This window comes from Homo sapiens, chromosome 13, assembly GCF_000001405.40.
Source record: "Homo sapiens chromosome 13, GRCh38.p14 Primary Assembly".
NCBI lineage: Eukaryota > Metazoa > Chordata > Mammalia > Primates > Hominidae > Homo > Homo sapiens.
Window position 1 is genome coordinate 33,525,697 of NC_000013.11, and position 16,896 is coordinate 33,542,592.

General features: G+C 36.1%; 1 protein-coding gene across 5 annotated transcripts in view; it reads right to left on the reverse strand.

Annotated features, from left to right (window-relative positions):
• The window catches only part of STARD13 (StAR related lipid transfer domain containing 13), a 573,658-nt gene that overhangs the window by 422,560 nt on the left and 134,202 nt on the right, over window positions 1-16,896 (reverse strand). The window contains exon 1 of one of the 5 annotated variants that reach the window (XM_047430760.1): window positions 7,095-16,798. The exons of the other annotated variants lie outside the window; for them this stretch is intronic. The gene's annotated coding sequence lies outside the window, so the exon portion shown is untranslated. Of the gene's footprint in view, window positions 1-7,094; window positions 16,799-16,896 lie in introns of those variants that run through there. 5 annotated transcript variants of the gene reach the window in all.

The window sequence follows — 16,896 nt, forward strand, 5'->3', positions numbered from 1 at the left end:
CATATTCCGTCTGGAGAAAGTATCAGATCTGCGGAAGCAGGAAAGGCTGGAGATGTAAATCTGTTATTTAACTAATTTTACTCATAGATTATCAGAGGTTGTTTTTGGTGGGAGGGGGAATGTAGAATAAACCTACTTGTACATGAATCTAGCACTGCCAAATACTAGCTACCTAACAGTGGACCTAAGTTCCTCAAATCTTAATTCGCCTGTAAAACAATACTTTTTGACATTTATTCAACACTTCCTTGTGCCTGGCAGATTTGGCATCTGCCAGAATGTGAGTACACAGGAGCATGCCAAGTCTGATGAGAATTTTTAAATGTGCTGCTTAAAAATTATATTTCTCTTGCTTACGATGTTGCTTATGATGACAATAACATGGTGATGATTATAGTAGCTAATATTTTCTGATAGTTACTGCTGTGTACTTTTTTTTTTTACAGGCGTGAGCCACTGTGGCCGGCAATAATTGTCACAATTATTAAACCATCCTTATGCTTGTGAGAGCAACTGTGCTTGGCTGTGACATGCAATTCCTTTCAATTCTATTGAATTTTGTTAGCTGGTGTTTTCTTTGGTATTTTTGCAGCCATATTCATTTATGCCCTGTGTTAATTTTTCTTTCAAGAAGATATTAGTTTCATAAAATAAATATGGAAGCTATGAATCCTTACAAATAAGTTATATTTGTAATATGTAGCTGAGCACTTAGCACAGCAACTGAAACAGGGTGAACACTCAATACATATTTGTTAAATGAAGACCGAATTGCTTATTTCCATGGCTTTCTCTGCGTGCTTCTTCCCTAGGACCCTAAGTTTTAGTTGACTTTTGTAGCCACCATACCAAGAGAGCAAAAGAGTAGTTAGGAATGCCAGCTGTGGAGCTAGAGTTCTGGGTTCAAAGCCAGGCTCTGACACTTAACAAGCTACAGACTACAGACTACTTACTTTTTCTCTCTGTACCTAAGTTCCCTCCTCTGTAAAACTAGAAGTGGTAATGCTTTGTACTCTCTGGACTGTAAGGACTGTAAGGAGTTTATAAGGGTAAAGCACTTTTAAAAGTGTGTGGCACATACTAAGTGAGGAGTTAATATTAACTATTATTATGTTAGTACGTGACAGGTAAATTGATTAAAGAATAATGAAAATGTAAAGATAGAGAACAGGAAGACAATACTTCCTGTGTCTCTGAGCTGTCCTGAGGATCATGTGACGTGAATTTTAAATAATGACAGTGGTTTGAAGTGTTGTTTTTAGAACCATTACAAATGGGGAGCCCCAGTGGTCAAAAGAAGAGAACTGTTTTGTTCTTTGACAAGAAAGCGACACAGCTAGAAAAATATTATTTATTAAGTTTTATTCCTTAGAATTTTTCTTTTATATTTTAGCCTCTTCTATATTATTTTAAATACATAGTTTTAAGGGTTTAATTTAATATCTTTGTATTGCAAAATAAGTGAACAAGAGTTTTCCATCAAACTTCATTCTTCTTGGAATGTAATCCCTGATTTTTCAAACTTTTTTTTTATGGGTCTTTATCCATTACTTACTTTTTGTAGTTCATATATTACTCAAACAATACCTCTTCCTTTGTTCCTTTCCCAGACCCCTTCCCCCACACAAAAAATTTAAAAATGCCATCCTTATAGTCATTCTGTAAGGTTGCTATGAATAGGTAATAGTCTACTACAGTCAACTTTACTAATGTAATAAACATTACTGAATAGTTTCTACTACATACAATTGAGCAATAAAAGGAAATCAATTATGAATTATAGAAAACCAATAATAAAGTTCTCCTCCTAATCTTTGCCCAAATTTCATATAAAGAGAACTTAGGAAAAAATTTCTGAGTTAAGATATTTATATGGATGCAAATATAGCAAAGAATCAGGTGGTGGACTGTCCAAGCCAGGAGAAATAAAGAGTTGATTCCTTTATTCATCCTGTTCTGTTCAGAATAAAAGAAAAAAATAAAAATACAGATAGGTAACCCCTTTGTTTAAAAAATTCTAGGACATTTCTGAAATAATTATACAAATTTAAATTTTATATAATATTTAAAATTATAGCATGCTATTTTTAAATTTCCTGATTTGCAAAGAAGAATCTTACTCAGATGATTTGAAAACTAAGACCATCATGTTTAATTTTCTAGAGGAAGGCACATTTATAAAGAAATATCCATATTTTAAAACATTTGGAATACTATTAAGAACCCGTTAACTGACCATTAATATCCAAAAGCCATAAGTAATGTAACACTAGTTTTTGGTCCCAAATATAAATGAAATTGGCTGAATGTCAGAGCCTAGCATAGACTGAAAGTTGTCTTTGACATTTATTCTTCAGGTAGTAGATTTGTCCTATATCTCAACAAAGTAGTTTGTGTAATGAACCTCCAGAGAACATTCAAAACATGATGAAGTTTAAACACATATCAAAGTTTTCCCCAGCTAAGCTAATATTATATATATATATATATATACACACACACAATATACAGATACATGTGTGTGTGTGTGTATATATATATATATACATATATATATATACATATATATATATATATACTCTTTTTTTTTTTGAGATGCAGTCTCCTCTGTCACCCAGGCTGAAGTACAGTGACATAATCATAGCTCACTGCAACCTCAAACTCCTGGGCTCAAGCCATCCTCCAGCTTCAGTCTCCGATGTAGCTGAGACCGTAGGGTGTGCCACCATGGCTGGCCAACTTTTTTTTCTTTATTTTTGTAGAGATGAGGTCTCGCTATGTTACCCAGGCTGATCTCAAACGCCTGGCCTCAAGGGATCTCTTGTCTCAACCTCCTAAAGTCCTGGGTTTACAGGCATCAGTCACCACACGCAGCCCTGAGCTAATATAATTTGTATTGAATTTATCTTTAAAAATGTTTCTAATCTCAGATCTTCCTATAACAGACGAATTTATTTCTCCTGCTAAATTAGCAAGAAAGACACCACTGATTCCACATCTGAGAAATAAGAGGCCTTCCAGTTTTTCATACTTCCTAGTGCTGGTCACGAGATTTCTTTTTTTCATCATAGTAACGATCATCTTTTCAGTGCTTATATTTACTGTAATGAAAGTGGGCTGCTGCCTAAGTTCATATCATGATTCCTCTGCTTACTGTACAGGAAACCAGTAATAAAATTATCATTCTAATTTTTGCCAAAATTTCATGTAAAGAGGGTAACTTGTGACTTCAGCCAATTACTTAACCTCCCAATGCCTCTGCCATCTCATTGGAATAAATGGGGATACTAATTATATTTATTCATAGGGTTTTATTTATTACTTCCTGTTTTATTTTTTGGCTCATATTTTACACAAGATATTGACAGAACTTCAGGAAGCCAGAGATCTAACTGTGTTATATACTTTATGAGAGCCATGACTATGCTCTTTCTGATGGATTGAATACTGCAAAAAAAAGGAACCAGGGACCAAACATAACAGACTAAGACGAAAGTTAGTGCCCTGTTGATTGAATAACCCAAATATCTCTTCCAAATCCCATGATGTGATCTGTTGAAGATGCATAGAAACTAACGGAATAAAGCATGAGATGTGAGAACACAGAAGAGTCATCATGATGTCCAGTTCTACTTAAAAATTACATATGGAACAAGCTTTTGTAGTTTCATGCCTTTATTTTTCACTTGTACATAGTTGATTTAGAAATCTGCATCTTGTTACTGAACCCAATGGTGTTACAACGAAGTATATCTTTGGAGCCCTCAATTCCTGTCTCATTCATTCACTTATTCATTCATCCAGCCAGCCAGTCATTCATTCATTCATATGCCAAGTGTTGTCCCAGGACTGAGGAAACAAAAATAAATATAACATATTTTCCTCAAGACCTCTAAACTAAGGAGAAAGGGTCATATAGACAGATCTATCAAAAGGATTTAAGCCAAAGTATGTACAAAACGATATGGGAAAACAGACAAAAAAAGCAAGTAATTCTGCTTAGGGGAAAAGGAAGTGTTCATAGAGGTGGTAACCTTTAAACTAAATTTAGCAGGAAGAATAGCAGTATTTCAGGGGATGGGAATCCAAAGGCATGAAAGCACAAAAACAATACAGCATGTTCAAAGAATAGTGAGGATTTTATCTGAGTCCATCCAATGATGCCTAGGGGGTACCGGTAGCAAATGATCTGTAGAAGGTAAATGGGGAACCCCGGATAAGAAACCACATATTAAGGAGTTTGAAATTTTGCTGTAGGTAATGGGAGCCCTGTGAAATTTTTTATTGATGTGTTTTACAATTGAGAAAATTAGAAAAGATAAGGAGCCTACATAAATATCAAAGAGTTAAAAAACATGCATAATAATTGCTGGTATCCCAACATTTTAAATTTAAACTTAATTCTCCCTTGCCTCTACTCATGTTTTTTTTTTTTGGTGAATGCTTCTTCAACACCTTATTTTTATTGTGAAATAAAGGAGAAATACAGAGAAGCACACAAAACAGATTCATGGCTTCATAAATAAAGGTGAACAACTCTTTAACCACCACCACATCAAGAAGTCAAACTTTGCAAGAACTCCCCGAGCCAAACCCCTCCAAATATCCCATACCAATTGCAATTCTCTTTTCCTCCCACCATAAGTAACCATTATTCTGGCTTTTACAGTAATTATTTCCTTGCATTCTTCATTCTTTATCACTGAGATGCATCTTTATGTGTTCATGTGCATCCTTAGGCATTAAAGTGTGGTCTTGCCCCTTCATACATTTTTTTATGTCTTTTGTGTTTTCATCTGTAATTTATTTTTGTTATAGTTTATCTGTTGAAAAATCCAAGAGTTTTCCCAATCTGAATTTTGCAAATTGCATGTTCAATTGCATATTTCAACTTGTTCTTGTCTTCTGTTTTTCTGAAAACAAGGAGCGAATTAAGATTTGGGTTTAATCCGTTTGGCATGACTATAGGTAGTGTTGTGTGCTTCCATCAAGAGGTATATAATGTCTGGCTGTCTTTCTTTTTAATGATATTAGCAGCTATTCATGCGAAATACCTATATGTATTCATTCATTAGAGGCTGCAACACAGTGATATGTTAATTCTTTTTTCATCTATGAATTGGAATATGTTTATACAGAGATATTTTCCCTCATTTACTATTTGGCTACCTAGTGTTACAGTTCATATAGGAAAGCAGAATACTTCATCCTTTCACTTTATTTATTAGTTTTCAAGATAATGAATTGGTTCCCTATTGATATGGTTTGGCTGTGTCCCCACCCAAATCTCATCTTGAATTGTAGCTCCCACAATTCCACATGTTGTGGGAGGGATCAGGTGGGAGGTAACTGAATCATGAGGGCAGGTCTTTCCTGTGCTATTCCTGTAATAGTGAATAAGTCTTATGAGATCTGATGGTTTTATAAAGGGGAGTTTCCCTGCACAAGCTCTCTTCTCGTCTGCCATGTGAGATGTGCCTTTCACCTTCCACCAGGATGGTGAGGCCTCCTCACCCAGGTGGAATTGTGAACCCATTAAACCTCTTTCTTTTGTAAATTGTCATCTTGGGTGTGTCTTTATCAGCAGTGTTGAAAACAGACAAATATACTTATCATGCTCTAAAGGCAATCAGCTCTTTTTAAAAAAGTATCGTTATGAACCATGTATTTAAATATATTTGACAAGTTTCAATCCATTGCAATTATTCTTGTGAATGCCATTCAAATTATTCTGTCCTTAGCTAGTGGGTGCCTTGTCAATTTGGTTTCTGAGACCCTGGTAGTGTTTGATAGCTACTTTGCCATGGTATGTCAAGCTGTTTGTCTTGTACATTTCCTTCCTTAAGCCTAGAAATAGAAGTTTCTCCTAGAAGACCTGGTTTCTTTAAATAAGGAATTATTTCAAGAACACAATCCAAGCAATAGGGACAGTCATTACCACTGTGTTGGTCATTGTTTCTAGGTGTTTTCAACAGACATAGAGATAGAAAGGGAGAGAAGAGAGTGGTGAGAGAGAGAAACCTCATGAGTTCATATCCAATACTTCCAGTTTGAATGTAAGACTACAGGACTTTTACTTAGTCTCTAATCTATTACATCTGTATCTTTTTTCTTCCAAACTGAGAATCTTGGTTCTCAAGGACACAGACTATGACAGAATTATAATATTCCATAATTACTCATTTGTTTTTTATCTCATATTATACACTTAATAGTCTCAAAATAACAATCCTAATGCTACCACCAACAGAAGTACTGAAAACACTGTAAAAGGTTTTGCATGTGCTGTCCCCCCGTCCCCATCTTTTTAGTGATTATATACTATTTTCTCTTCCTCTTAGCCTTCATTTAGTCTTAGTTCTCCTACGAAGTCTCTATTGCAGCTCAGCACAGTCTATAGGCTGTCGTTCTGCTCACCTGTTACCTGAAGCTCATTTTCTAGCAGGCTCTTCAGGAAGATCTCATAGTCATTGTGCCCTTTTTGCTACAAAGTAAGTTTTTCTGGACACAAAGTGCTTGGCACATACTTTTTTCCCTTGAGAATCTTAATTATGTTACCTTATTTTCTTTTAGCCTAATGTATTGCTAATGAAAAAAACTGAAGTTTATCTAATTATGATCTCTTATAAATCATGTGCTCTTTTCCCCTCTAAATAGTCAAAGGATTTTTAAAAAATTAAAACCCAGTAATTGTGGTAGAGTGTCTTGATATTATAATTCTGGGTTGATCTTTTTAGGTGTATGGAGAACTCTCTCAATATGTAACTTCTAATCTTTTTTATTTCAGGAAAGTTTTCTTGAATAATAATTTTTAGCATTTCTTCTGGTCCCTGGATTTAGTTTTCTTCCTTTATGGCTGTGCTTGTAAGAAATTTTTCTATCTTGAAGTCTGAAAACATTCTGTTTATTTTTGTCAAAGTTGTAATGCTTTGACTTTTACTTGTATGCTATTAATATACCTGGGATACTGTGTGTACAAAATTCCTTTCATGAAAACAGGAGAGAAATTTATGTCATTTGGGTATAAAAAAGTTGTACTTCTGAGCAATTGTTTATTTATATCTCAAGTAATTATGAACTAATCTGATTCATACCTGGTGTCTGATTCCGACATGAGGAATCCAAAGGGTAGCAGTGGTCTTGTAAGATGATTACTGTATTTCCACACAAAACTGGGTCAAGGAAGTACAAGTGGTTCTTGTGGACCAGATGGGCACCTTCCAGGTGAAGAAATCAGCCACAAAATTTTTCCAAAGGGGCTGGGACAATGGGACCCCAACAGAAAGAACCCAGGTGAGGCAAACATATCAGTCACCCATGGCTAAATGTTGGCTTAAGTCCTAAGTGGCCAGTGGGAGAAAGGCCAATCCGAGAATTGTGTCACTGGAGATTCCAGGCAGAGGAACATAAAGAGGTACTTTTAGTGTCAATCAAAGCCCCAAGAATGCCAGTTCCAGATTGTCAGAGTAGTGACCATGTAAACCTGGGTCTTTTCCCCCAGTCCTTTCTACCTAGTAAGACCCTGGAGGATGAGACACTGTAGGTAGCAGACTGGGTGAGGAGCAATAGAGCAAGATATGAAAACAAAAGAGAAGCCAACCCCCACAGGCCTTTCTGCCCATAGCAGGTCTCAGCAGTGGGAAGCAGCTTTAAATTAGGTAAGATTATGAAGCTATGTGATTATAAATGGTCTGAAAGTTCTGAATATTTAAATGAAACTGTTCTTGTGCCAAAAGGTAACCAGAGGATGTTTTATTTTAAAATGATTGGAAATACTATGGCACCCACCTGATAAATCATTCAAAGTAGAGAAGAAATATTCCTTGCACATATTTGAAGGAACAACAGAAAGAAAAAACAAAGCTCTTTTTTTTTTGTTCACCCTATCAAGTTGTTTCCATTCAATAAAATTATTACATCTGGTAAGTAAGTGGATTTATGCTTATATAAACTGAAAAAGGCTAGGAAGTACATGGTAAGATCACATGCAAATTTAAACCAAAGCCTTTGCTTACAATTTCCTTGTATTTGATGTCAATAAAACTTTCAAACACCTGAGCACCTCTTCCATGGAGACTTCCCCAGCCACTCTGATCATGACTGTGAGGACTGGATATAAAGCTCTAGGCACATGTTCAGCCCTTAACAAATGCTGAGTGTTAATTATGCTCTTCTCTGCTCTCACAGCACACATCATCAGAAGGTGTTTTCCATTACATGAATGTGTCTCTTTTCTTCAATTACTCTCAAAGTTCCTAGAAATGAAGGACATATCTTATACTTACTTTATGTTCATCAGAATTCTGGTCAGAACGTTGTGCTTAGGACTTTTCAAAAGTAACTGACAACTGATCAATAAGTAGAGATAAGTGGAGTGATGGTATCACAATAGGAATGCTCTGGGGCAAGCAAGGAAAGCCTACTAGCAACCCTGAAATCACTCTTTTTGTTAGCTGGGTGTACTTTTCACTTTTTCTATACTCTCAGATTTCTCATCAATAGAATGTCTATTTTATGTCCTAGAGTCTCCTACCATAAAATACTAGGCCTTTACAAATTATATTATTTTGAGTTATCAGACTTTTAGAGTATCTTCTTTGGAATGGTATTCAAGCTCAGGGAGAGCCACATGAACTAACTGGATGATGCATTGCTCTGTGTAAAGTTTCCTCTAAGCAGTTTAAGAATGTTATGCACCAGACAGGGAAAATAGTTGAAGAAGTAGGACAGAAAGAAGTGTGTATTTTCTGTCTGGTTTTAAATGTAATTCAACAGGTAGACATTGGATTTCAACATTTTTAAAAAGGTCTCTTGTTTATCCTTGTTTTAAAGATATTTGAAACTACATGCTGTTTTTTCATACATGTATTTTGTGATCATGTACTATGTTAAGCAGGAGAAAAGGAACCTTTTCTAATGTATTTTTTTATATATAGAATACACTGTTGAAACACTATTAAAATGATTATAGAACATTTCAGTGGCCTTTGGATATATTTAAATTCTTCTAAGTGTCTAGTATAAGCACTATGAGATTAAGGACTGGGCCTGTTTTAACATTATTTTATAAAAACTTATTTTCCTTTTATTATTCAAGTTATGGTTATCTACCATCCAAACTATTCATGACAAATGAAACACTAACCCCAAAGAGGGAAAGCAGAACAAATTAAAATGTACCATTTTCTTGATGAAAGAAGATGTTATGTCCAAATTCTGGACATAATAAAAGGAGAACCGGGCCGTTTGTGGCTCACGCCTGTAATCCTAACACTTTAGGAGGCTGAGGCGGGCGGATCACCTGAGGTCAGGAGTTCGAGAACAGCCTGGCCAACATGGTGAAACTCATCTCTATTAAAAATACAAAAATTAGCCTGGTGTGGTTGTGCATGCCTGTAATCTCAGCTACTCAGGAGGCTGAGGCTGGAAAATCGCTTGAACCCAGGAGACAGAGGCTGCAGTGAGCCGAGATCATGCCATTGTGCTCCAGTCTGGATGACAAGAGCGAAACTCTGTCTCAAAAAGAAAAAAAAAGGAGAACCAAATGGGTTTTCTTCATTACATAAATCTGAATACGACTGGCCAAAAATAAAAGCAAAAGTGAAAAAAGCACTGACTGGAAATTTTAGCCCCAAGTCTTCCTTTAAACTTAATATTGATGATTTCAAAGTTTAGAAGAGTTACATACAAATATTCTTGAACTATAACAATTTCAAATTGATACAATTAAGTAAAATATATTTTGTATTTTAAGTTTTACCACAGAGAATCAAAGGCAATCAATTAAAGATAAAATTGTATTTTAGTAACTTAAAAATACAACTTCCAGGAGCAGATGAGAAAGAAAAACATCAATTAATTGTTTTGATTTTCAAAATAACTTAATTATATTAATTAGAGATATAACAAAGGCCTGCTCCAAAGGAGGAGAAAGTTCTTAGAACATATTGGTTGTTTTGCACCAAGGTCAACTTTATTTTGAACATAAAAAACTTACATTCTTTCTCTTACCACAAAAGCTGAAGTAAATATGTTCTAGCCCTCAAATGTGACTATTGGTGTTTTGGGGATAAAGGGAACTTTGCCCCCTTATTGATGGCTTCTTGTTTCTTTACAATAATCCCATTCAGGGAAATAAAAGGCACATTTGTTTTACTGATTCCATCTAAGCATATTATACAAGGCGAGATGGCAGTCCGAAAATCTATACTTAAATTATTGGAATGGAAGAGGACTGAGTGATCCCTTATAGAACACACAGAGGTCAGGCTTACACCCCAGTTGGTCCTCATCATGATCTGGAATAAGAGCATCAGTGATTTGGGGGACATGAATAGAGCTGGGTTATGGGAAAGCTACTCTAGATGTGACATTCCATTTTCCGTGTGTGCATGTAAATAAATTAAATATATAGGATTGTCAATCCTCAGTGATACAGTTAAGAGTACTGAAGACTCAAAGGTGGAAAATAAAATGGTAAAATGGTGAAGCAAAACAGAAATGGCAAATAAGACAACTAAATTGTGCTGGCCATTATTTAACATGCCATTACATCATACGTATTTTTAAAGCCAGGAATTTATGAAATTTAGTGTAACATCATTTGGACTGTTTTATCATCAATAACTGTAAGAAACTTTTTAATTGTTCCAAACTGCATTTGTTTATTCTATAAGTTAGGAAAATGAAAACTAATAAAAAATAATAAAGAAAACGAAGCTTAGGAAATAAGAGTATTTGATTCTGAAATATATTTTCCCATCATGGGAGAGTCTCCTGAATCTGAGAATGTTGTAATATTACTCAGTCTATATTTACTGCATAATGATTATGCTGTCTTGGTAAGATAAAAATTAGATAAACATTAGGGATGTATATGAGAGGTGACAATAAAAACTGAAGTCAATGTCTTATATTCAAGGGATTTATAACTCTCTCTGGGCTAGCACAATCTGAAAAGCAGAATTAAAAGGGAAAAACTGGTAGATACCTCTTTTAACGAACACTCAACTGTAAAACCACCTGGTTTTCCTCTTTAAAGAAAGAAGAAATTGCTTCTGCCAGCTTACTGAACAGAACTTCCCTGTGATGTCTGATAACAGCCTATACTCCAATCTCTGTAAAAGTCACACTAATTATTAATACACTGGAGCAGAGTTCAGGTTCCATTTTGTCATACAGTCTTAGTGAAACTGCCTCATTATATTGTTCTATCGGTTTGTTAGTAACAAAATTCCCTTGCTATTCATATTAGAGCTGCTTTAAATTTTATTCCACATTAAATAAACTTTTTAATCAGATTTTCTTTTAGGTTATTTTATCATAGTAAAAATTTTATTTTAGGTTACAAAAACAATTTCAGGATTCATTAAATAGCAGCAAGAGAGCAAATACCACGACTTGAGCACTACAGATGAGTAAACTTCCAGAACAGTTCTGAGCACGGCTTTCAATAAAATGAACAAGTTGTTTACATAGCTGTGAGAAAGGTTATTGTTTCATTGGTTTTGCGTCCTAGTGCAGCATTCAGCATTTAGTGGGAGTCCAATCAGTGTTTACTGAATAAAACAAACTAAGTGATGAGCAGAAATCTGGAAATGTTGTGGTTTCCGAAATACTGCTGCTACGCAGACAAGTTATGACTAACATTCCCCCTTGAAGTTAAAACTGTTTGTATAAATAATTTTAAAAACAATAAAGAACCCACTATGTATCAGACATTTTACAAACAATCTTATTAAAACCCAGTCTTGGCAAGTAGGTATCTTATTTGACACTTTAGGGAAACTGAGGCTCAGAAAAGTTAAATAACGCTCAATTACACCCATGCAGAAAGTGAGGGGTCTTGGATTAAGTCCTGATCATTCGATCTTTCTACAGTACACTCACAGACCTGTGGGCAATGTTTTATATAATTATTCCTTGAAATTACGGTAAAAAATCAAATCCACTCTCGGGCTTGGCCGGGAAGTGTATATTTCTTTACTGGCATAAAAAAAAAATTAAAAAACCAACAAGGAAAAGAAAAGAAAAGATGTATTTCTTCTTGCCTGACTAGAACATATGCTTGTATTTTAAGAGTACCAAAGGTGACAGACTGAATTTACAGCTACAGCATAGTCATGTTTAGCTCGCCTGGAAACAGAACTACCCTGATCTCTCAGCAAAAGGAACAGAGGGTGCTTCCCCATACAGAAGACAGAGTCAGGCCAACTCTAAAGAGAACTAGGGCATTGCCTAGGAACCCATCTGTGGCAAGGGGGTACCACTGCCAGGAGGCCCCACAAACACCTCTGGAATTAAGACGGAAAGTCACTTCCATGTCTTCTGTGTTGCTTCTGATGTTTAGAAACAAAAAGTATTGACACTAGTTCAGAAAAATGAGCCTATCTTTATTAGCATAAAGACTCTCAGATTACGAGGATTTAAAAAAAAATGACCCCGCCTCTGAACCGTGAAGAACTAGGGAAATCTGAGTAAAATACAAAAAGGATCTTGAGAGGGCAAGATCCCGAAGAAGGGTGCAGAAAATTCTGCCCATATTTGACTCTCTTTTTCCCCTTACCTTATTCATCAATTTGGAAGTTGTTTCAGAGGCTGAGAAGTTACACAGATAATGGCAACTAAGAAGCAGAGAAGCTGAGAAGAGATTGCTTTCAGGAGTCCACTGATTGAGAAAATAAAAATGCGAGTTCAGGGCCCACGAAAGAGGGAAGGCCTAACACCTCGGCTTTTAGCTGGGACACAGAAAGGGTCACCTCAGGAGTAAGAAAGAACCTGAAATAGACGAGACCTAACAAAGTCTAAAAACCAGTTTGAAATAATCTCACTTCCATATTAGATTAAGGTGCTCTGCCCTTAGCCTAGCTTCCTAATAGAAGCAAAAGTAAATCCTACAAATACTTCCATAAAGTAAAAAACACCACTCAGAGCCCAGTATTTTTTTTTTTTTCATAAACAAAGACAACATTTCATAAAGAATTTCTGGGCATACCAGGAAACAGAAGAAAAAGATAATGGAAACAAGATCCACAGATGATCCAAATACTGGAGTTAATGGGCACAAACTATTTAATTTTTTTTTTTTTTTTGAGACGGAGTCTGGCTCTGTGACCCAGGCTGGAGTGCAGTGTTATAATCTCGGCTCACTGCAAGCTCCGCCTCCCGGGTTCACACCATTCTCCTGCCTCAGCCTCCTGAGTAGCTGGGACTACAGGTGCCTGCCACCATGCCGGACTAATTTTTTGTATATTTAGTAGAGACGGGGTTTCACCGTGTTTGCCAGGATGGTCTCAATCTCCTGACCTTGTGATCCGCCCACCTCTGCCTCCCAAAGTGCTGGGATTATAGGCGTGAGCCACTGCGCCCGGCCTTGCATTTATTAATACTAGAGACGTAGAATCTATGCATAAGAAAATTCTAGAACTAAAATAAAATGATTCAACAACTGAAAACTTAAACTAAAAAAATACACTTAGAATAAAAACCATGAAATGTGTTGGAAGAAACTTAACAATGTATGTGCAATACCTGTATGCTGAAAATTACAAACAGAAATTAAAGATCAAAATAAAAGGAGATATATGCCATGTTCATAGATTGGAAAACTCAGTATTTTTAAGATGTCAGTTCTCTCCAAGCTGATGAATAAATTTAACAGAATCCCATTCAAAATCCCAGCAGATGTTTTTAGAAATTGAAATGACAATTTAAAAATTTATATTAAAATGCAAAGGACTTAGAATGGCCAAAGTAATTTTGAGGAAAAAAATACTTCCACTATCTGATTTCAAGACGTATAAAGCTACAGTAATCAATACAGTGTGGGACTGGGTTAAGAACAGACATATTTATCAATGAAATTGAATAGAATAGAAATTCAGAAGATCGGCAGATTTTTAATAAAGGTGCCAAGGTAATTCAATGAAGGATAATCTTTTTAACGAATGCTACCAGAATAACAGGATTTCTATTTTGAAAAATATGACTATCAACCATTATTGTGCCATACTAAAAATTAAGTGGATCGTAAACATAAATAAGATATATTGTGAATCTCAGAAATGAGAGGATTTTATGAACAGCTTTATGCTAATGAATATTTGGATACGTACAAATCCCTACAAATATACAACTTACAAACAAAAGCTGCTCTTTAAAAGACACTTTTAAGAAAATGAAAAAGCAGGCCACAGACTGGGAGAAAAATATTCACAACATATACTTCTGACAAAAAAGTCATACGCATAGTATGTAAATAACTCCTACAACTCAATTACAAACAACTTAGTTTTAAAATGGGCAAAAGTTTTGAACATATACCCACTTAATGGCTAAAACTAAAAACTAAAAATAGCAAGTGTTGGCATTTGATAAAAAGACCTGTCACCCTTTTAAACTATAGTAGTTCCCCCTTAGCTTCAGGGGAAATGTTCCAAGAACCTAGTGGATGCCTGAACCTCAGAGAGTACCCTACCCTAAATATATTATGCACGAATTTCTTTTTCTTTCTTCATAATTTCACAGATAGAAGACTGATTCTTACCAACCACTTGGTTCCTAGTGACCTTAGGTGATTCCTTAAGTCGAGAACTTTCACCTTCCACTTAAAGGAAGCACATTAAGGCTTCTTTTGGCATATCCAAATTGCCAGTATCACTACTATTGGGCCTTGGAGACATTATTAAGGAAAATATAGGTTATTTGAATCCAAGCTCAGTGATATGGTGATAGTTGATAACTGTGATAGTGGATGCTGAACAAAGGGAGGATACACGTTCTGGGAGGCACAGAGAGAGGCAGCATGAGATTTCATCACACTACTTAGAACTTCTAGCAATTTAAAATTTATATTTCTGAAATTTTCCATTAAATATTTTTGGACCTCGGTTGACAGTTGGTAACTGAAACTATGGAAAGCAATACCATGTATAAAGGGGGTTCCTATACAAGGATGTTTGATGAGTGCAGACACAAATAGATTCGATGGTGGGAATACACAAAAATTCTTGGCTTATGCTCACAATTCTTTTTTCAATAAAGTGTGAGGCAAAGTCATTAGTTGAGGAAGTTGATAATTTGAGGAAGGAAAAGAATGAGATATTTGGATTACAGAAGGAAAGGGCAAAGTCAGTAAAGCAAAGGAGTAGGAGAGCTGATCAATATGCAGAGCCAATTTAGGTGTGAGATCACACTAGTCCACCCAACAGTTAACAGGCTGAGCCCAAGCTCAGAAAAGATAAATGCATGCAGGAGTTCATCCATGGTTTGAGTTTTGCCAGGGAAGTGCTAAAAGTGAGGGATAAGAGTTGAGGATATTTGCAAAGGAGTCAATGCCACTATTTCTGAATATATGTGTACTCTTTGAACTGTGAAGGGCTATGTTACTGTAACTTTATAGTATAATGGTAGCAAAATGAAGCAATCCCTCAATTTAAGGTTGGTTATATACGATGTAGAGAAAGATGGGAAAGTCGAAAAAAAAAAGTAAGCAACTAAATGGGATATAGCCAAAGCTGAAGTATGCAATGATGAAATAAACTGATTCCATATTCCACACATTTGATTTTAGGGTCTAAAAGCTATTTTGCAATCTTCCAGATCACTCTTTGAAGACCTATTACAGCTTCAGCTCTGACCTCTTTCACGTGTTTTCTAGTATCTTCCAACATTTTCCCCTTTTCTTCCCCTTTGGATATCCTGCCTCCTTCTTGCCCTATTTCTGACCAATCTTGAATGATATTGCAATATCCCCCTAACTTCTACATAAACAGGTGCCATAGTACTCCTCACGTCACAGCAGCGTTTTTTCCAGTACCAACTACCCAGACTATCAAACGGTTTTAGCAAAAAACAATGAAATACACTTATTTGGCAATTTCGGACAATCTTTCTTATATCCTCCGGCCCACTGCTGTTTCTTTCAAAATATCTACTTAAAAGCCTGTATTCCTTTCCCTCTGGCTTTTACAAGGATTGTTTTTATATAGGCCCTGGACTGCAAAGAGCTTTGAAATCCAGATAAAAGTGTTTACCAAGGCTGAAGAAATTTTCCAGGAGAACTGAGCACTTTGCACAGATGACATTTTTGGAATTAGTTTAAAATTAAACGGAGCGGATGCAGATTCATACAGATTTTATTTCTGCAACACACTTGGTTGTTTCCTTGCAGCATCTAAAAACAAAGCCAATGCACTTTCAGAAACTACTATGGTCCTCCAAAATTCAAAAGTGAAAAAATGACAAAATTTTTCTTTGTAACACATCTGCACAAGAGGCTTTCCTTTAAAATTTGATAAAAGACCAAGGCCACACCAGAAAACACAGAATATAAAACTGTGTATCGACAAAAATTAAAAACTAAACTCCTTAAGAGAATCGCTTGCTAAAAAGTTTAAAAAACACGAAGACATGCTTTCTTAAATAATTTGAAAATGTTTTTGGTTCCACACGAGTAGTCTATTTGTTTGCGTGCCTTTTTTATTCCTTGTGACACCCCTACCTTCTCAGAATAAACACTGAAAGATGAACAGACCGGGGGATCAAGCCGGTTCACTAAGATTTAGAGGGGAAGGCTGGGTCCATCTTAGCACTGAGACCGCACCCAGACTGCATTTGGATCGCTAAGGACTAAGAAAACAGTACAGATCCAGTTTTACCTCTTATACCATTAATTTTCCATAAAGCCTTCCAGAAACCTGACTCACAGCCAGAAACCCAAACCCCGTGGGCGGGATTTAAAACAAAACCCATTACGCCACCATTTCCGCCTTGCCTGCCTAGCAAACGTGCAAACATTGAAAAAGACGCACACGCAGACCGCGCCTACGTCCCCAAAGTGCGCAAGCGCACGGCGAGACCCCGCCCCTCGCCCTCCCACCAAGACGAGGCGCGCGC